The 20,524-nt window shown below is 51.7% G+C and overlaps 1 protein-coding gene across 21 annotated transcripts in view, besides 3 other annotated features; it reads right to left on the reverse strand.

Annotated features, from left to right (window-relative positions):
* The window catches only part of CAMKK2 (calcium/calmodulin dependent protein kinase kinase 2), a 60,128-nt gene extending 39,604 nt beyond the window's left edge, over positions 1 to 20,524 (reverse strand). For 9 of the 21 annotated variants that reach the window (XM_005253824.3, XM_047428105.1, XM_005253822.3 and 6 more), the window contains exon 1: positions 19,343 to 19,414. The gene's annotated coding sequence lies outside the window, so the exon portion shown is untranslated. Of the gene's footprint in view, positions 1 to 15,856; positions 15,980 to 19,342; positions 19,415 to 20,243 lie in introns of those variants that run through there. The other 12 variants (NM_153500.2, NM_172216.2, NM_153499.3 and 9 more) reach the window with 2 other exon arrangements.
* Positions 5,173 to 5,780: an enhancer, noted in NCBI's record as "H3K4me1 hESC enhancer chr12:121720271-121720878 (GRCh37/hg19 assembly coordinates)". NCBI's record gives its function as "activates a minimal SCP1, AML or CMV promoter by ChIP-STARR-seq in naive H9 embryonic stem cells {active_cell/tissue: H9 hESC(naive)}" and the evidence as "EXISTENCE:reporter gene assay evidence [ECO:0000049][PMID:30033119]".
* Positions 5,781 to 6,388: an enhancer, noted in NCBI's record as "H3K4me1 hESC enhancer chr12:121720879-121721486 (GRCh37/hg19 assembly coordinates)". NCBI's record gives its function as "activates a minimal SCP1, AML or CMV promoter by ChIP-STARR-seq in naive H9 embryonic stem cells {active_cell/tissue: H9 hESC(naive)}" and the evidence as "EXISTENCE:reporter gene assay evidence [ECO:0000049][PMID:30033119]".
* Positions 18,950 to 20,099: a silencer, noted in NCBI's record as "silent region_4972". NCBI's record gives its function as "represses an Ori minimal core promoter by ATAC-STARR-seq in GM12878 lymphoblastoid cells {active_cell/tissue: GM12878}" and the evidence as "EXISTENCE:reporter gene assay evidence [ECO:0000049][PMID:35858748]".

Here is a 20,524-nt window from a genome sequence, read left to right on the forward strand (position 1 = left end):
AAATTCAAACTACAATCAGGCAGCCTGGTGGCTCCCCAAAAAGTTAAACGTAGAGTTGCCATATAACCAGCAATTCCTCTCCTAGGTATAGACCCAAAAGAATTGAAGGTAGGGATTCAAACGGATACTTGTACACTAATGTTCATAGCAACATCATTCACAATAGCCAAAAGGTATAACCAAGTGTCCATCAACAGACGAATGAATAAACAAAATGTGGCAGAGCCATACAACAGAATACTATACAGCCACAAAAAAGAAGGAAACTCTGACTCACACTACAACACAGACGAACCGTGAAGACATACGCTAAGTGAAGCAAGCCAGATACTAAAGGACAAGTGTTGTAAGATTTCAGTTACATGAAGTATCTAGAATAGTCAAATTCAGGCCAGATGCAGTGGTTCGCACCTGTAATCCCAACACCTTGGGAGGCCAAGGCAGGCAGATCACTTGAGGTTAGGAGTTCCAGATAAGCCCGGCCAATATGGTGAAACCCCATCTCTACTAAAAATACAAAAATTAGCCAGGCGTGGTGTTGGGCACCTGTCATCCCAGCTACTCAGGAGGCTGAAGCAGGAGAATCACTTGAACCCGGGAGGCACAGGTTGCAGTGAGGCGAGATTGCGCCACTGCACTCCAGCCTGGGTAACAGAGCAAGACTCCATCTAAAATAAATAAATAAATAAAAAGTGTTTTAAAGGAAAGAAAATACCTGTAACCATGATCGGAGTTATGATGATAAGGCCTAGGATGCTACGGGATCAGACGGGGCAGGAGGTCAGGAGAGGGGAGCAGTTGGTCTTATCTCCTATTTCTCTGTCCCCCATTCCCCCTTACTGTATCTCAGAAAGAAATCATCAACTCTGTCCCTGTCTCAGTTTCCCCATCAATGAGAGAATACAACTCAAGTTTGATATTTCTCTATGGCCCTAGCTGCTGCTACTTTACTTCTCCTTCTCATGGTCCTTATGTCCCAGAAGAGGAAACTCAAGATACCCTGAAGTTCAACAGCTTAAGGTCATTGACATCCTGTAAAGTTGGTGCCCATCTGATAGTCATAGGATTAGATGAACCAAGCACTCAGAATCATGCCCTGCAAGTGGTTAAGTACTCAAAAACTATTACTTCAACAAACACCTGTTGGATGCTATGGTTTGACTCTGTGTCCTCTCCCAAATCTCACCTTGAATTGTACTCCCATAATTCCCGTGTGTTGTGGGAGGGACCCAGTGGGAGATAATTGAATCACGGGGGCGGGTTCCCCCATACTGTTCTCATGGTGGTAAGCCTCACGAGATCTGATGGTTTTATCAGGGGGTTCCGCTTTTGCATCTTCCTCATTCTCGCTGCCTGCTGCCGTCCATGTAAGACCGGACTTGCTCCTCCTTGACTTCCGCCATGATTATGGGGCTTCCCCAGCCAAGTGGAACTATAAGTCCAGTTAAACCTTTCTGTTGTAAATTGCCCAGTCTCGGGTATGTCTTTATCAGCAGCGTGAAAACGGACTAATACAGATGCCCATGGCCTGCTCTGGTAGGTAGCCTATGCTCTGGAATGTTCCCACGAGGACCAATGTCCAAGCGAGCTGGCCTGCTCTTAAGTGTGTCCCTCAGCCCTGGCTGTGTGGCCTGCGTCCCCCAGGGCAGGCAGTCAGTCTCTCCCCTATCCTAGAGCTGCCTCTGATAGGGCTGCAAGAGTTCCTGAGAAGAAAATGAGGCTGAGCAGTGCCTGGGAAAGTCAATGGAGATTTGTTTTTTTCTCACCAACAGGAAAACAATTGCTTATCGAACTCTACACCAGGCCAAGGGCACTGAGCCATCCGCCCCCAGCAAGGCTGCTTTTAATCGGCCTCCTTGGCAAGCTGGCATCTGGCCCGGGCCTCCCTCACAGCTCTGACGGAGTCTCGGCCTCTGCGGTCTGTTGGAGGATGGAGAGGAGAGACAGCTCAGACCCCGGGCAGGGACGTCGGCGCTGGCAGGGCAAGCGTGAAACCCCAGAGCTCAGCAGAGAGGAGCCCCAGGGACGCAGGCCCTGACAGGAAGAGATGCATCCAGGGGCTTCTGGCCTCACAGACACCTAGAGTCTAGGCCAGTGTCCTGAACGGTTTGGGGGTCACAGACCCTACAAAGATCTGATGAAAGCTACCAACACTCTGTGCAGAAGAAATCATGCAAAAAGACAATAGTTTAGCCTGGAAACAGCAACGGCTAACATTCAACTGAGCTCTCATCAGGCACCCAGCACGGAGATAACCGCCTGGCCATGTAACCCTCACAGGACCAGGCCCTCTGCCAGGGAAGGACAGTGAAGCATTCGATTCCAGAGGGCGGAGCGTGAGAGGAGGACTTTTTTGCAAAGTTGCTTGGATTTGACAAAATGTCAGCCCTGGCCCTGCATCCTTCCCCATGAAATCCAGGCAGAGGCCATCCCCCAAGGCCTTGCCTCTACCCTGTTCCCTCTCACAGGGCAGCTCATCACGAGCCACCAGAGCCTTCCTGGAGCAGATGGACCCGGGACCCGGGCCAGGATGAGGGAAACGCTCCTTCCTCTGCCAGGAAGCTGAGTGGCGCAGGCCTCCAGGAAACACCTTCTCATTTCCTAGGGGCTGTTTCCAACCTGCATCCGCTACCTCCCGCGCAGCAAGCTGCCAGTGGGTGCCAAAGAGGTGCTCCCGAGCCCGGACACACCTGTGCAGGCTCCCCCGAGGTTGCCTCATCCTGGGCACAACAAAAAGGCCCAAAACAGCTCCGAGGATCCTGCCAAGGCCACGGACGATGTCCTGCCCGGGACATCAATGTCCTCCTTGGGAAAATGGGCTCAGCCAGCCAAAGTCAGGGACCCCAAACGGAGGGACCGGCTAAAGCCATGGCAGAAGAACATGGATTGTGAAGATTTTATGGACATTTATTAGTTCCCCAAATTAATACTTTTGTAATTTCTTATGCCTGTCTTTACTGCAATCTCTAAACATAAATTGTAAAGATTTCATGGACACTTATCACTTCCCCAGTCAATACCCTCGTGATTTCTTATGCCTGTCTTATTTAATCTCTTAATCCTGTCAGTTGAGGAGGATGTATATCGTCTCAGGACCCTGTGATAATTGCATTAACTGCACAAATTGTACAGCATGTGTGTTTGTGCAATATGAAATCTGAGCACCTTGAAAAAAGAACAGGATAACAGCAATCGTTCAGGGAATAAGAGAGATAACCTTAAACTCTGATCGCCGGTGAGCCGGGCAGAACAGAGCCATATTTCTCTTCTTTCAAAAGCAAATGGGAGAAATATCGCTGAATTCTTTTTCTCAGCATGGAACGTCCCTGAGAAAGAGAATGCGTACCTAGGGGTAGGTCTCTGAACTGGCACCCCCCGGGGCGTACCTGTCTCTTATGGTCGAGATTGCAGAGGTGAGATAGACTCCAGTCTCCCATAGCGCTCCCATCTCCCATAGCGCTCCCAGGCTTATTAGGAAGGGGAAATTCCCACCTGATAAATTTTGGTCAGACCGGTTGATCTCAAAACCCTGTCTCCTGATAAGATGTTATCAATGACAATGTTGCCCGAAACTTCATTAGCAATTTTAATTTCACCTGGGTCCTGTGGTCCTGTGATCTCACCCTGCCTCCACTTGCCTTGTGATATTCTATTACCCTGTTAAGTACTTGATGTCTGTCACCCACACCTATTCGCACACTCCCTCCCCTTTTGAAAATCCCTAATAAAAACTTGCTGGTTTTTGTGGCTTGTGGGGCATCACGGAACCTACCGACATGTGATGTCTCCCCCGGACGCCCAGCTTTAAAATTTCTCTCTTTTGTACTCTGTCCCTTTATTTCTCAAGCCAGCCGACGCTTAGGAAAATAGAAAAGAACCTATGTGATTATCGGGGCAGGTCCCCCGCTAGACGCGGGCCTCCAGGAAACACATTCTCATTTCCTAGGGGCTGTTTCCAACCTGCATCCGCTACCTCCCGCGCAGCAAGCTGCCAGTGGGTGCCAAAGAGGTGCTCCCAAGCCCGGACACACCTGTGCAGGCTCCCCTGAGGTTGCCTCATCCCGGGCACAACAAAAAGGCCCAAAACAGCTCCGAGGATCCTGCCAAGGCTACGGATGATGTCCTGCCCGGGACATCAATGTCCTCCTTGGGAAAATGGGCTCAGCCACACCCTGTCTCACATGGGGAAACTGAGGCCCACAGAGGTCCTCAAGGAAATGCGTTCATTCATTCATTCATTCATTTGTTCTTACATGTAGTAATTATAAAGCAATGATCACGTGCTGGATAAACAAAACAGATGTGGTTTTTGCCCTCGAGGGGACTGACAGTCCAATGAGGGGGACCAACATTTAAAAGTAGGTGCACAAGGCCGGGTGCGGTGGCTCATGCCTGGAATCCCAGCACTTTGGGAGGCCGAGACGGGTGGATCACCTGAGGTCAGGAGTTCAAGACTAGCCTGGCCAAATGGTGAAACCCCGTCTCTACTAAAAATACAAAAATAGCCAGGTGTGGTGGCGGGCGCCTGTAATCTCAGCTACTTGGGAGGCTGAGGCAGGAGAATCGCTTGAGCCTGGGAGGCAGAGGTTGTGGTGAGCCAAGATTGGGCCATTGCACTCTAGCCTGGGTGACAAAGCGAGAGTCCATCTTGAAAAAGAAAAAGTAGGTCCCAAGTGAATCTATAAGCACAGACTGGGGCAGAAGACCAGGATATGATCAAAGAGAATACCAGAGGGGACCACTTTAGATTTGAAGGGAGGCGGTGGGTGAAAGAAGGCCCCTCTTGGTGAACGTCTATTAGGCTGAGACCTACAGGGTGAGTAGATACTAAAGGAGCAGGAACTTGTTCCCAGCAGAGGAAACAGCTTCTGAGAAGGCCCTCTGTGGAAAAGAGGCGGGAGAGTGGAGGCAACAGAAACAAGTTTCCTGGGTCTGGAGCCCGGGAGCAGGAACAAAGTGGGGAAGGAGGGGCTGGAAGGGCTACAGCTTTGTGGGAAGTGGATGATGATGACGAGAGGGCAGCCCAGGGCAATGCTACAGGGACTGGGCTCAGACCCTGCTGTGAGTTGAACTGTGTCCCCCAAAAATGTTATGTGGCAGTTCTAACCCTCAGGACCTCAGAATGTGGCCTTATTTGGAGACAGGTCTTTACAGAGATTATGAAGTTAAAATGAGGTCATTAGGGTGGGCCCCAGTCCAACAGGCCTAGTCCAATAAATGGGAAAGGTAGACACACAGCCAGCCAGCACGGAGGGGGAAGGCCACACGGAGATGGAGGCGGAGACGATGCTCCTTCTAGAGGCCAAGGAGCATCAGAGATTATCAACAACCACCAGCAGCCAGGAGAGGCCTGGAACAGACTCCCCTCGGAGCCTTCAGAAGGGACGAACCCTGCCAAGGCTTGATCCCAGACTTCTGGCCTCCAGAAATGACAGAATATATCTCTGTTCTTTTTTTTCTTTTCTTTTCTTTTCTTTTTGACAGAGTCTTGCTCTGTCCCCCGGGCTGGAGTGCAATGGCGCAATTTCGGCTTACTGCAACCTCCGCCTCCCAAGTTCAAGTGCTTCTCCTGCCTCAGCCTCCTGAGTAGTTGGGATTACAGGCACCCACCACCATGCCCGGCTAATTTTTGTATTTTTAGTGGAGACAGGGTTTCACCATGTTGGTCAGGCTGGTCTCAAACTACTGACCTCAGATGATCCACCCGCCTCAGCCTCCCAAAGTGCTGAGATTACAGGCATGAGCCACCACGCCCTGCCTAATATCTCTGTTCTTTAAGCCGCCCAGTGTGAGACTTGGTCACGGCTTCTCTAGGAAGATAATACAGCACCCCACCCAACCAGTGGGGTTCGGAGAAGCCGGCTGCCTTGGAGGCCACAGACTCTGAGGCATTTCCCAAAGCTCTAGCGGGAGACCTGAGAGGCTCGGCTGCATCCACGGAGGCGGTGCTGGAATATTTCAGACCCAGGGCCCTAGCCCAGCTAAGCAGGGTTATCAGATCCAGTGACACCAACTGTTACAACTGGCTCTCTCCTTCAGCGCTCTTTAATTTGGGGCCACTGAAACAACTGAGTCCGCAAAAACAAAGGCCCTCCCTTGTCAGATGGCAATAGAGATATCTCAGGCCTCAGAGACCCCATCCTCATCATAGTCCCTAGAACAAAAACGTTGCAAATGATGACTCCTGTGTGACATCTGGCCACCGATATACTGGCCTTACACCAGGTTCAAAGCTATCTGAAGAAGTGGTGGCTCATGGCCGTAATCCCAGCACTCTGGGAGACCGAGGTGGGAGGATGACTTGATGCTGAATTCAAGATCAGCCTGGGCAACATAGTGAGACCCCATCTCTACAAAAAAAATTTTTTAAATTAGTTGGGCATGGTACTCACACCTGTAGTCCCAGCTACTCAGGAGGCTGAGGCGGGAGGATGGCTTGAGCCCAGGAGTTGGAGGCTGCAGTGAACTATGATTGCACCACTGCACTCCAGCCTGGGTGGCAGAATGAGATCCTTTCGCTAAATAAATAAATAAATAAATAAATAACCATTTGAATGAGATGCCAACATTTCAGAGCCAGGAGATTTCAGATAAAAGTGCAAATTTACAGATTTTCTTGAAGAACTGCACACTGATAGCACTGGGCCTGTGTTCTATCCTGGCAACCACTCGCTGCAGCTCTGGGCAGGGGACACACTCACCAGCACGCCACAGTCCTCACCACTTCCCAGTGCCTCTCCAAAGCTGAGGACAGGCTGCCTGCCACGGCCCACGCCCTCCCCTCGGCCCACATCTCATGCCCTGCCTCTCCGCTACAGGTGTCTGAGTCTGCAGCCCCTGCTTTCAAGTCACTGAATGTCAGTGCAAAGACAGGTGCACATCAGTGGTCACCTGCTCTGACCATTTCATTCCACCAATGAGGAAAATGAAGGTTCAGAAGGATTTACTGATTTGCCCAAAGTCACGCAGTGGTTCTAGGCAGGGCGACAATTGGGCTGAGTTTTGTTGTTCTTGTTTATTTTTATTTTTATTTATTTACTTATTTTTGAGATGGAGTCTCGCTCTGTTGCCCAGGCTAGAATGCAGTGGTGTGATCTCGGCTCAGCGCAACCTCTGCCTCCCAGGTTTAAGCAATTCTCCTGCTTCAGCTTCCCAAGTAGCTGGGGATTACAGGCACGCCACCATGCCCAGCTAATTTTTGTGTTTTTTGGTGGAGACAGGGTTTCACCATGTTGCCCAGGCTGGTCTCGAACTTCTGACTTCAAGTGATCCACCTGCCTTGGCCTCCCAAAGTGCTGGGATTACAGGCATGAGTCACCGCACCCGGCCGGGCTGAGTTTTTCAGGAAGGGGCCAACAATTACAGGCATAGCCCTGCCATGTCCACATATTGCGTCCTGAATAAAGTCCAGGCTGGACCAAAATCTCTAACAAGGGATTTGGGCAGGCAGCCCATTCCTCTGCCTTGCTGGGACCTCGACCTGTGTTTGAGAGAGATGAGAGCGAAAGCACAGGGTCTCAAAGTGCTTGGAGGAGAAATGCACAGGATTTGGGCACAGGGACATGGACATGACTAACTCATGAGAGCTGTGGCTTTGGCCTCCTTGTTTACAGCTGAATTCCCGGGCCTAGAACTTTCTAGGACACTGCTCGCACTCAGTAAATACTGACTAGAAGTTGTTGTTTATTTCTTCTGTCCCAAGGCCACTCAGAAGGTCAGAAGCTTTCTTTAGCTGGCCTAGAGTTGAAGTTTCTTTAGTCTGATAACAGCAGCCCAATTTATGTCTGGGAAGCCATCCCTCCATATGAGAGGTGGCCCTACAGGGCTGACCCCACCATCAGCTTCAGAGATTTGCATGTGACTCAAGCCTGGCCAGCTGGCTATCAATTGCTCTGGTCAAGTGGGTAACTCAAGAATAGATATGAGGCCGGGCGCAGTGGTTCACGCCTGTAATCCCAGCACTTTGGGAGGCCAAGGCGGACAGATCACTTGAGGCCAGGAGTTCGAGACCAGCCTAGCCAACATGGTGAAACTCCACCTCTACTATAAATACAGAAATTAGCCAGGTATGGTGGCGCATGCCTGTTATCCCAGCTACTCAGGAGGCTGAGGCACGAGAATCACTTGAACCCGGGAGGGGGAGGTTGCAGTGAGCCAAGATTGCACCACTGCACTCCAGCCTGGGCAACAGAGCAGGACCTTATCTAAAAAAGAAACAGAGTAGATGTGTGGGCCAGGCATGGTGGCTCACGCCTGTGCTCCTAGCACTGTGGAAGTCTGAGGTGGGCAGATCCCTTGAGCCCAGGAGTTTGAGACCAGCCTGGGCAACATGGCGAGACCTCATCGCTACAAAAATACAAAAAAAACCTAGCTGGGCATGGTGGCGTACACCTGTAGTCCCAGCTACTAGGGAGGCTGAGGTGGGAGGATCGCTTGAGCTGGGGAGGTTGATGCAGCAGTGAGCCGTGATCATGCCACCGCACTCTAGCCTGGGTGACAGAGCGAGACCCTGTCTCAAAAAAGAGAGTAGATGTGTGACCCAAGTCAGTCTATTGGGTCTTATTCTGTGATTTTGTGGAAGTGTTGAAAAGAAAGAATGTCCTTTCTGTTGAACCTAGAGCTCAGAGGATATATTCCTAAAGCTACCAGGGGCTGGAGAGAACCCTGCCTCAGAATGAAGTCTAAGAAGAGAGAAGAGAGGTAATGGATGGAAAAGAGCTGAGGTTGAAGACACTGTTTAGGCACCTGGATTCAGCCATGCCTGAAGCTCATGTACCTCAATTTTTAACTACATGAGCCAACATATTTCCATTTTTGCTTAAGCTATTTCGTGATTAGTTTTCCATCATTTACAGTCAAGGGCCCTGACTTACAAATGACAGAGCTGACTGACAGGGAAGCTGCTGTCTCCCTACACCCCAGGGCTCTCATCCAGGCCAAACTGCCAGGCAGCTACAAGGCCTCTGGCAACCTGGACAGCCTTCACCTTGACAGGCAACTTGACTTCCAACACTGCTTTTCTCTTTCTTTTAATCTTAAAACATCAAGGATGGGGCAGGGAAGGGCTGATGAACAGGGAGAGGAGAAGAAACTGGCATTTTCAACACAAGAATCGCATTGCTGCAGATGCAGTGATACTAATGGTTAGCCTTCTTGAGTGCTTGGCACTCTTCTAATCCTGCATCATCTCATTTAACTGTCACAACCACCTTATGAGTTATAGATACTGTTTTGTTTGGTTTGGTTTGGTTTGATTTGGTTTGGTTGAGGCAGGGTCTCACTCTGTCACCCAGGCTGGAGTACAGTGGCACAATCTTGGCTCACTGCAGCCTTGATCTCCCGGGCTCAAGCATTCCTCCCACCTCAGCCCCCCAAGTAGCTGCAACTACAGGTGCGCACCACTACGCCTGGCTAAATAGGTCCTGCTATTATCCCTGTTCCACCAGTGGGGAAACTGAGGCACAGAGAGCCTGGCTGACTTGCTCACAATCATCCAGCTTCTGAGTGCTTCAGGAGGGCACAAGTGTGAATGCTCACTATATAGAAGCTATTGCCAAGAAAGAACTTTGGCAGTTACTGAATTCACGACCCTCAGTTGGCTTCCTTTTTTTGGGGGGCGGGGCGGTTGGGGACAGGGTCTCACTCTATTGCCCAGGCTGGAATGCAGTGGTGCAATCATAGTTCACTGCAGCCTCGAACTCCTGGGCTCAGGTGATCCTCCCACCTTACCTCCCAAGTATCTGGGACTACAGGCATACACCACCACACTTGGCTAATTTTTTGTATTTTTGGTAGAGATGGGGTTTTGCCATGTTGCCCAGGCTGTTCTCAAACTCCTGGGCTCAAGTGATCCACCTGCCTCAGCCTCCCAAAGTGCTGGGATTATAGGCATGAGCCACTGTGCCTAGCTGGTTTCAATTTATTTTAAAACGAAATCTCTTAAATCTCTAATCCTGCCGTGCTAACTCTTCATCTTCCCCTCTAGCCCTTGTCCATATGCATCACATTTTACAAAATTAAAAATAGCGTATGCATATCATTTCACATCCTTGCTTCCATGTGTCATAAGAGCACATTCTCACATGGCTTTTGCAATCAGCGCAACAGAGGCTGCAGATGGAGTCACCGAGACTCAGAGAAGTTGAGATGACCTCATCCAGGCAGCCCAGCAGGCTCGCAGTTGGGCCAGGAGGAGATCCAGGTGGCCTGCCCTGCAGCCCAGTGACCCTTGAGGCCCTGGATACTCACAGAGTAAGCAGTTCCCCTGTCTTGCTGCTTGCCAGGGCCAACTGTCTTAAGAATTCTTAGGCAGCTATTACTTAGTCAGTAATGAAATATCACTGAAAGAATGGCCCCAGTCACGCAGTCAGACATCTAAAGCCAGCTGTGGGCCAGGTACAGTGGTGGCTCACGCCTATAATGCTAGTGCTTTGGGAGGCCGAAGCAGGAAGATCGCTTGAGGCCAGGATTCGAGACCAGCTTGGGCAACACAGCAAGACCCCATCACCACACAAAAAAATGTTTACATTAGCCAAGTGTGGTGCTGCACACCTGTGGTCCCAGCTCCGTCAGAGGCTGAGGTGAGAGGATCCCTTGAGGCCAGGAGGTTGGGGCTGTACTGAGCTATGATTGCACCATTGCATTCCAGCCTGTGCAACAGAGAAAGGCTCTGTCTCGAAAATTTTTAAATTTAAAAAATATAAATAAAAATAAAACCAGGTGTGCATGGGTGGCCCCAGCCTTGAAGTGTGAGGAGCTTACGAATGTGTGGGTGAGTTTGGGTATGTGTTTAGAGGAGGGAGGTATTTGGAAATAAAGTGTAGAAACCATCTTCCTTCCTTCCTCTTCCCCCACTGCATCCCTCTCAATCTTTCACTGAACCAAAGGAAGAGGTTGGAAAACAACTGGAATTTCAGTTTGTAATGAACAAGAAAAAGACTTCTACCCAGCATGCTCTTGGCAAATCAGAGATGGAGAGGGCCAGCTCGAAACCCACAGGCATCGGTGCCTGGGCTACCCACGGCCCCTCTCCCTCCCTCCTCCCCACCTTTTGGACATCATGCTAAATCTAGCTGCAAGCCTCCTCAGCTGAGGGACAAGAAGAGTGCAGGGAGCCAGCTCTGCAGCTCTGCGGGGCCCAACGTCCCCACACCTGGACCTAGAGGGCAGAACTGTCCAGGATGAACCGAATAAAATATTTCTCTGCCAGAAGCCTTGAAGGCAATACCCCAAAGCACATTTCAAAAATGAAAAAGGGAGTGTGCTCTCCCTTCTGCACCCTGGCCCCCGCAAAACACTGGTTCCCCATTTAAACTTCTCTAACAGAAGCTTCTCTCAGGCACCACCCACAATGCTCCTACCCCACCCGCTGGGTTCCTGCCTCATGCCTAAGCCACGTGGGCAGAGGGGCAACACCTTGGCCTCCCCACTGACTCCCACCCCCCTTTCCTCCGAGGACCACCATCCCTCTCTTTTCCAGGTTGGGATTAGCATTTTTATCTCTGCAACTGCCATCTCTCAACTATTTACAGAAGCCACCAGGATAAAAAGAGGCAACATAAAAATAGTTGCTCAGCAGCTTTCAGGATGGGGTGGGGTGGGGGTGGGGGCACTACAGAATCTTCTCATTTTCTTTCATTCCTTTTCAAAAGGGAAAGGATGTCAGAATTGTTCATCTTTTCCAAAAGGCTCTGAGACCACTCACCTGGGACAGGAACCAAGTCCCAGTATTTCTCAGTTCCCCAGGGTATAGCCTGTCACCAGCACCAATCCCCCCACCCCACCCCAACCAAAAGAGCGGGCTGGGTGAAGGGTCGAGCCTGCAGAGCCAGGGCGCCCCACTCTGCCCCGTTTCCGTCACCTCCTGGGCCTCCTTCCAGCTTTCCAAAAAGCGAGCCAGTTTAAAAAAACAAAGCAAAACTTTGGCTTTTCTCTATGCTTAAAATGTTTCATAATTGAAAAAAAAAAACTTCAGTGGCAATACTACAAACATGACTGAAACCGAAACACTGGCAGCTAAAATAATCCCTTTCCCATTTGGATCACTAACGTCCCCAACGGGGAAAGCAGCAGCCAGGGGTCTTCCCTACAAAATCTAACAGAACTCACATCATTTTAAAGATGTCTTTTTTATTATTATTATCTTGGTTTTGTTGAGAAAGGGGTCCAATCAGGGAAGAAAACAAATAATAATTCTAAATCTTATTTCTCAGAGCCCAAAACTATTCGGAAATGCTTTCCATCCCATAACCTGCCAGGGAAGGTGGACTCCACTCCATCAGAAAACGAGCATAATTTGCCAGTACAAGGAGCCAAAGTTGGGAGCGATGGCTCATGCCTGTAATCCCAGCACTTTCGGAGACTGAGGCGGGCGGATCACCTGAGGTCAGGAGTTCGAGACCAGCCTGGCCTACATGGTGAAACCTCGTCTCCACTAAAAATACAAAAATTAGCCAGGCGTGATGGGACGTGCCTGTAATTCCAGCTACTTGGAAGGTTGAGGCACGACAATCGCCTGAACCCAGGAGGCAGAGGTTGCGGTGAGCTGAGATCATGCTACTGCACTCCAGCCTGAGAGACAGAGCAAGACCCTGTCTTTAAAAAAAAAAAAAAAAAAGGCGGGGCGGGGAGCCAAGGGAGGCCTAAGACCTCAGGAAGAGAAGGTACATCAGGAAAGGATACAGATCCCAGAGGACCTTGAGCCTTGATTTTCTCATCTGTGAAATGGTGCCAGACCTACCTAAGAGGGTGGCTATAGAGTTGATCTTCTCTATGGCAGTCCCTAGTACACAGCGTGGCTCAAGCTAATTGTTCCGCAAAGATCACGTCCTCCCTTCCTTTCTGTACTCCGCTTCCCTTGTCTGGAACATGGAAGGGTTCAGGAGCTGATCTCTGCTGGCCTTCCTCTCAGGCCAGCTTTCCATTTCTGCTTTCTGGGCGGGTATTCCTGGCAAAGCTATCAGGACAGAATGGGCTGACTCCACTCACGGCCACAGGGCCGTGGCACTATCTCTCTGCTTTTCTCTACTTTGTGGATTTACTTACCTGGAAAAAAGTCTCACAAAATATATACTAATAAAATCACATGGGGACCTTCATTTAACAAAACAGGGCTGGTTGTAATGGCTGACAACTGTAATCCCAGCACTTTTGGAGGCCAAGGCAGGAGGATCACTTGAGCCCAAGAGTTTCAGACTAGCCTGGGCAACAAAGCAAGACCCTGTCTCTACAAAAAAATTAAAAATATTAGCCAGGCGTGGTGGCGCAGGGCTGTAGGCCCAGCTACTCAGGAGGCTGAGGCAGGAGGATCTCTTGAGCCTGGGAGGTTGAGGCTACGGTGGGCCATGATGGCAACACTGCACTCCAGCCTGGGCGAGTGAGTGAGATCCCATCTCAAAACACACAAAAAATCATCGTAACTGAAAAGAATGGAACTGAATAAAACCAAGACTGTCCCTGAAAATTGTAATGAAATGACCATGAATTGATCCAGGAGGCAATGGGTTTGTTTTGTTGTTATTGTTTTGTGGTTTTTTCTTTTTGACACGGAGTCTCGCTCTGTCACCCAGGCTGGAGTGCAGTCACACTGACCTCGGCTCACTGCAGCCTCTGCCTCCCGGGTTCAAGCGATTCTCCTGCCTCAGCCTCCAGAGCAGCTGGGATTACAGGCGCGTGTCAACACACCCGGCTAATTTTTGAATTTTTAGTAGAGATGGGGTTTCACCACGTTGGCCAGACTGGTCTTGAACTCCTGACCTTAAGTGATCCACCCGCCTTGGCCTCCCAAAGTGCTGGGATTACAGGCGTAAGCCACTGTGCCTGGCCAGCAATGGGTTTAAATGGGGAGCCACGATTCTTGCAAGGGGTAGGTAAGGGTGCATGAAGGGAATCCCGAAAACCTTGGGTTGGGAAACTGGTTCCTGAGTGATTTCAAGAAACCTTTCTTCCATCACCTGCTCCCTCCAAACAGAGTGACAAAAAAATGTCTTATGCCAAGAAGTTCATTAACTGAGGGGCTACAGAGACACGGGAATGGACAAAGTAGCCTTAAGACGCCTTTATGGTGGAAACAACCCAAATGTCTATCAATGGATGAATGTATACACAAAATGCGGTCCATCCACACAATGGAATAGTACTGGGCCGCAGAAGCGAATGAAGCACTGACAGCCACTATGGCATGGATCAGTCTTGAAAGCATGATGCTGAATGAAAGAAGCCAGACACAAAAGTCATATATTACATGATTCTATTTATATGAAATGTCCAAAACAAGCAAATCCAGAGAGACAGAAAGTAGGCTGGTGGTTGCCAGGGGCTGCAGGGAGGGGCACTGGGAAGAGAGAGTGACAGTTTAATGGGTACAAGGTTTCCTCTGGGGGTGATGAAAATGCTCTGGAACTAGACAGAAGTAGTGGTTGTACAACATTATAAATGTACTAAATGCCACTGAATTGTTCACTTTAAAATGGTTAAGTTTGGGCTGGGCATGGTGGCTCACGCCTGTAATCCCAGCACTTTGGGAGGCCGAGGCGGGCAGATCATGAGGTCAAGAGATCAAGACCATCCTAGCCAACATGGTGAAACCCCGTCTCTACTAAAAATACAAAAATTAGCTGGGCATGGTGTCACATGCCTGTAATCCCAGCTCCTTGGGAGGCTGAGGCAGGAGAATCGCTTGAACCCAGGAGCTGGAGGTTGCAGTGAGCCGAGATCACGCCACTGCACTCCAGCCTGGCGACAGAGTGAGACTCTGTCTCAAAAAAATAAATAAATAAAATAAAACAAAATAAAATAAAATGGTTAAGCTTATATTATGTGAATTTCACCTCAATTTTTTTTTTCTTTTGAGAAGGAGTCTTGCTTTGTCGCCCAGGCAGGAGTGCAGTGGCACGATCTTGGCTCAATGCAACATCCACCTCCCGGGTTCAAGCGATTCTCCTGTCTCAGTCTCCCGAGTGGCTGGGATTACAGGCACAAGCTACCAGGCTCAACTAATTTTTATTGTATTTTTAGTGGGGACGGGGTTTCGCTATGTTGGCCAGCCTGATCTTGAACTCCTAACCTCAAGTGATCTACCCGCCTCGGCCTCCCAAAGTGCTGGGATTACAGGCGTGAGCCACCGTGCCCAGCCCTCCTCAATTTTTTTAAAAAGAAGCCCTTACGAATCTCTACTAACAGGTCAGTAAGGCAACAAGCACAGCCTGAAAGAAGATCGGTTTCAAAAGGGAAATGCAATTTCCTCAACTGTTAGGAAAGAGACACAGACGCAAGGCTGAGGCTGCAGCAGCACCATGCAGCCAGCCGGCCTGAACCCCATATCCAGGTTCTCTAACCCCATCCAAAGAGAAGAAGTGAGTGGGAAAGCAAAACATGGAAGAAAAATAGCAGTAGGCCAGACACAATGGCTATAATCCAATCCCAGCACTTTGGGAGCCTGAGCCTAGAGGATCACTTGAGTCCAGGAGTTCGAGACCAGCCTGGGCAAAATAGTAAGACCCTGTTTCTATAAAGAAATTAAAATTTTAGCCAGGCATGGTGGCATGCACCTGTAGTCTCATCTGCTCTGGTGGTTGAGGTAGAAGGATCACTTGAGCCCAGGAGTTGGAGACTACAGTGAGCTATGATAGCACCACTGCCCTCCACCCTGAGCAACAAAGTGGGATCCCATCTCAAAAGAAAAAAAAAAAGAAAAAAAAAGCTGGGCGCCGTGGCTCACGCCTGTAATCCCAGCACTTTGGGAGGCCGAGGCAGGCGGATCATCTGAGGTCAGGAGTTCGAGACCAGCCTGGCTAACATGGTGAAACCCCGTTTCTACTAAAAATACAAAAAATTAGCCAGGCCTGGTGGTGTGTACCTGTAATCCCAGCCACTCGGGAGGCTGAGGCAGGAGAATCGCTTGAACCTGGGAGGCAGAGGTTGCAGTGAACCGAGATCACACCACTGTACTCTGGCTCGGGCAACAAGAGGGAAACTCCATCTCAAAGAAAAGAAAAGAAACAAAGCAAAGCAATAAGCAATATAAGACCCTCTGATTTAAAGGAAAATCTGAAATAGCATTTGCCCCAAATCCCCAGGATCAGGAAATGAAATGTTTCCCATAACCACCAGAAGAAAGTATGCTGGGGCGGGAAGAAGATCACAGGTGACCCTGAGCAAATTACTCAGCCTCTCTGAGCCCTTCATATAAAGAGGCTTCCATAAAATGAGTTGATAGAATAATGGTGATTCTGTGGCCCATGTTAAAATTTGAGCCAAAATGCCTTGAAAACAGGCTTGGCCTGCCCCACTTGGCCTGGTCCTCTCCCCTGAGAGTGGTGTCTGGCCACTCATCTTCCATCTAGGATGAGGTTCTCAAAGAGGAAACCCCCGGCTACTGCACAAAGTTCCCTGCTAGGTCACCCCACCCTATCCCCTTCCCCTCCTACTCCCATCCCATCTCCCATTTCTGGCCCATCCTTCAAGGCTCTGCACAAATGACACCTCCTTCAGGGAGCCTCCCAGATTCACACCAGTCTGAGGAGATTTCTCCAGAACCCTCAGTGCCCTGTGCTCCTTCGATCACAACAGCACTCATTCCTTGTGGTGTTTCTCAACAGTGGCACTGCTGGCATTTGGGGGAGGGTGATTTTTTTTTGTTTTTTGTTTGTTTTTTGAGAGGAAGTCTCCTTCTTGTGCCCCACGCTGGAGTGCAATGGCACGATCTCAGCACACTGCAACCTCCGCCTTCCAGGTTCAAGTGATTCTCCTGCCTCAGCCTCCCAAGTAGCTGGGATTACAGGTGTGTGCCACCACGCCCAGCTAATTTTTGTATTTTTAGTAGAGATGGGGTTTCACCATGTTGGCCAGGCTGGTCTCGAACTCCTGACCTCAGGTGATCCTCCTGCCTCGGCCTCCCAAAGTGCTGGGATTACAAGCGTGAGCCACCACGCCCAGCCAGGGGAGGGTGATTCTTTATGTCGTGGCCCTGGCCTGCCTACAGGACACTTTAGTAGGCATCCCTGACTCCCGCCCACTAAAAGCCAGGAGTGCTTAGCATCATTTTGACAACCAAAAGTCGCCCCCACACTTTCCCAAATCCCTGCCAGGAGGGTGGGACCACCCCCGGATGAGAACTAGTGCATTGTTATTAGTGACTATATTTAGCTACCAGCCCACTAGCCATATCTAAGGATGGGCAGTACTACAGACCCTGCATAGAGCTGCATCGGCAAACACTGATGTAGTGAATAAACAAAACAAAACAAACTCCTGGGCTCCTCAAGAAGCTCAGGGCAGCCTTGCCAGGGTCTCTGCTCTTGAACAGGTGCACAAAGGTTCTAAGGCCTGACATGCCTGCACTGGCTGTGTGACCCTGAGCAAGTTACTTAACTTCTCTGAGCCCTTCTATAAAATGGGGCTAAATCCTAGCAACACTGCAGGATTTCTGTAAACCTCAGTCTCCTAATCTCTACTATGGGGTTAAAATTCCCTACGTTGTAGGATTTGGTAGGCATTAAATGAGATAATGCATGTAACACATAGCACAGAATCTGGCAGGCAGCAAGAACTCAATAGATGTTAGTTTTTAATACTGTTATTATTATTATTGTCCAGGGCCAGGTGGCAGCTCATGCCTGTAATCCTAGCACTTGGGAGACTGACGTAGGCGGATCACTTGAGGTAAGGAGTTCAAGACCAGCCTGACCAACATGGTGAAACCCCTTCTCTACTAAAAATACAGAAATTAGCCAGGCATGGTGGTGGGCGCCTGTAATCCCAGCTACTGGAGAGGCTGAGGCATGAGAATCGCTTGAACCCGGGAGGCGGAGGTTGCAGTGAGCCAAGATTGTGCCACTGCACTCCACCCTGGGCAACAGAGACTCCGTCTCAAAATAAATAAATAAGTATTCTTATTATTATCCAAGTTAGGGGCTCATCAAATGATGGCTATTACTCTTCATTACAAAAATATGTTTTGCGTCCTCATCACCAATGCCTGCTTCCTCCATAGGAAGGGTGTGTGTCACCAATGCCTGCTTCCTCCATAGGAAGGGTGTATGAGCAGCAGTCTGGAAGGGGTATGTGGGGCTTGCCCTAAAGCTGCATTTGCATGGCATGCACACTATTTATTCTGAAACTGCATGTTTTTGTGGGGTGATTAGGGAAGAGGGTGGCTAACTCCCCCAAAGCCCTCCCCTTGTTGCAGCCCCCGCCTCCTCCAAGGAACAAAGGAGCTTATGGGGACATAAAGCCATCCTCTTCTCTCTCCTCTGGGGGCAGAGCTAGGGGAGGGGGAGTGGTAAATGGCAGCACAGCTCTAGGGCACCTGAAGTTTCTATCCCCTGCGTGGAGACTCCAAACACCAGGCTGGGGAAGGTAAAAGTAGCCTGTAGGGAGATGGACGCTGCAGGTCCCATCCGGAGGCCAGGTATCCCTCTCTTGCTGATAGCACTGAGACGCCCTCCCCAAAGCTCAGCCTTCTCGGGGAGATCGGAGGGGCTGAGCTGCATCCTGTCCAGCACTAAGTGAGAGTGGCCAGGAGGGCAGGCTGGCAGAGCTGTGAAAGCACCCACTTCCCCAGCTAGGCAGTGCAGGGGCTGGGGGAAAGCCAGGAAAAGCTCAAGGCTGGGTCGGGTGGCACCCCAGGCACAGAGCCCCAATGCTGAGAGGGGCTGGGTCCAGTGTCCCTGAGAGTCAGGCGGACGCCTCTCCGCATTCACAGCATACTGCAACCCCGAGGTGAATTTAGGTCAGAAGGACCAAGCCTGTGAGGCTCCGGCTGAGAGAAGAGGTGCGGTGGGGGTGGTCAAAGGGCAGACCGAAGACAGCCAAAGGTCCCCTAGGTCCCCACAACTGCTGGCCTAGGGTCCTGCCACCTGGTGTCCAAGCCACCAGGGCCTGGGTTTGCCCCGAGACAGGCAGGCTGCGGGGTGGGGGTGCTCCAAGTCCGCTGGTCCTCTCTTCCCCGGAACGCTCCAGATTTCCCCACCTGTCAAACGCGAGGGGCTGGGCCTAGGCCGCCTCCACGAACCCTGACGGACCCGGCCCCCGGTGACCCCGGTTCCAAACTCCAGGACCGCCCCTGCCACCCGGACAGGGCGCGGCCCAGCCGAGGAGGCCATCCCGAGGCCCAGGGCGCCCAGAGGACGCGGGGGAAGGGCTGTCGGGGACCGTGTCCCTCCACGTGGCGGGGCGTGGGGAGGCGCACGTGGGGTCCCTCCGTGTTGGGAGCCCCAGGCCAGCCTCCGGGCTTTGTGTGCCATGCCGGCGGCGGTCCCCCGCCTCGAGAGGGAAACGGAGCGGGCGCCCGGGGCCGCGGCGGCTGCGTCCCTTGCCCCGGGCCCGGCTACCGCCAGCTCACCTGGGCTCCGCGCCGCCGCCGCCTCCCGCGCTCTGCGCCCCCAGCTCGGCTCGGCTCGGCTCAGCTTGCTCTGCGCGGCCGCGCGCTCCTCTCCTCCGCCCGGGCGGCGGGCGCGCGGGGGGCGGGGGCGGGAGGAGCCGCCCGGCTCGGCTTGGGCGCGTCGCCGCCCCGGGCAGCGCGGGGATTGGCCACGGCGGCGGGAAACCCGAAAGCGGAACCGCCCGCGCCCGCCGCGCACCGCCCCCTGCGCGCCCCCGCCGGCTCGGCCCTGCGCCGGGGAGGGGTGGGGAGGCGGGAGCCTGCAAAGACGAAAGTAGCGAAGAGGCGAAGGGCAAGGAGCAGAAAGGGAGGAGGCGAAGAACGGGGGAAGAGAGGCCCGGCCGGGAGGATCGGAGGCGGCTGGGAGGAGAGCCTGGAGGGGCGCGGAGCGCAGGAGGTGGCGCCGCAACTTTGTACCCGCTCGCCCGCGGCGCGCACCTGCCCAGGTTCTTCCCGCGGCGCCCTCGGGCGGGCCGCGCCGGCAGCGCTTGCTTTGTTTAGCCAAATGCCGGGGCTGCAGGGCGCCTCCGGGCTGACCCTGGGAAAGTTCCCCCAAGCCGGCAAGAACACCCGGGGCCCCTCCTGTGGCGACCCGGCTGCTGCCCCTGCGCTAGGCGCCGGGCGGTGGATGCGGCCTGGACTTTGGGCCACCACCGACTCGGGGGAGCCCCCTTCCGCAGCTGCCTGCCGACTGACCACTTGCTCAGGGCCGGCCCTAAAGGCTGGGGGAAGGCGTTCCTCTCCCATCCCCAGCCCACCTGGATGCACCATTGAAGTTCATTCTGGCTTTTCCAGATGGCTACTTAGATGCTTTTTGTGAAATACAGCATATTCTTCCCATTCTCCCCTTTTTGGCACTTACTTTGCTGGAGCCTTAAGTGTGCGTTGGATCCCCCAGCTGGATAACAGCACTGTGCGGGGAAGAGGAGAAACGAAGACCTGGAGGGCTCCCTGAACCGTCCTACGGGGTCGAGCGACCCAGGGGATGTCTCACTGACCCTGCCAAACAGCCAAAAGGGAATCGAGTTGACAGGAGAGTCAACCTCCAAGTTAATAAAAGGTTCAAAGCCCTCTAGTTAACTGGGTGGATTTCCAGCCCGTTCCGATGTGCTTCTCTTGTATTTCTAGGCCGTAGGGACACTC

This window comes from Homo sapiens, chromosome 12 (genome assembly GCF_000001405.40).
Source record: "Homo sapiens chromosome 12, GRCh38.p14 Primary Assembly".
NCBI classification, from domain to species: Eukaryota; Metazoa; Chordata; class Mammalia; order Primates; family Hominidae; genus Homo; species Homo sapiens.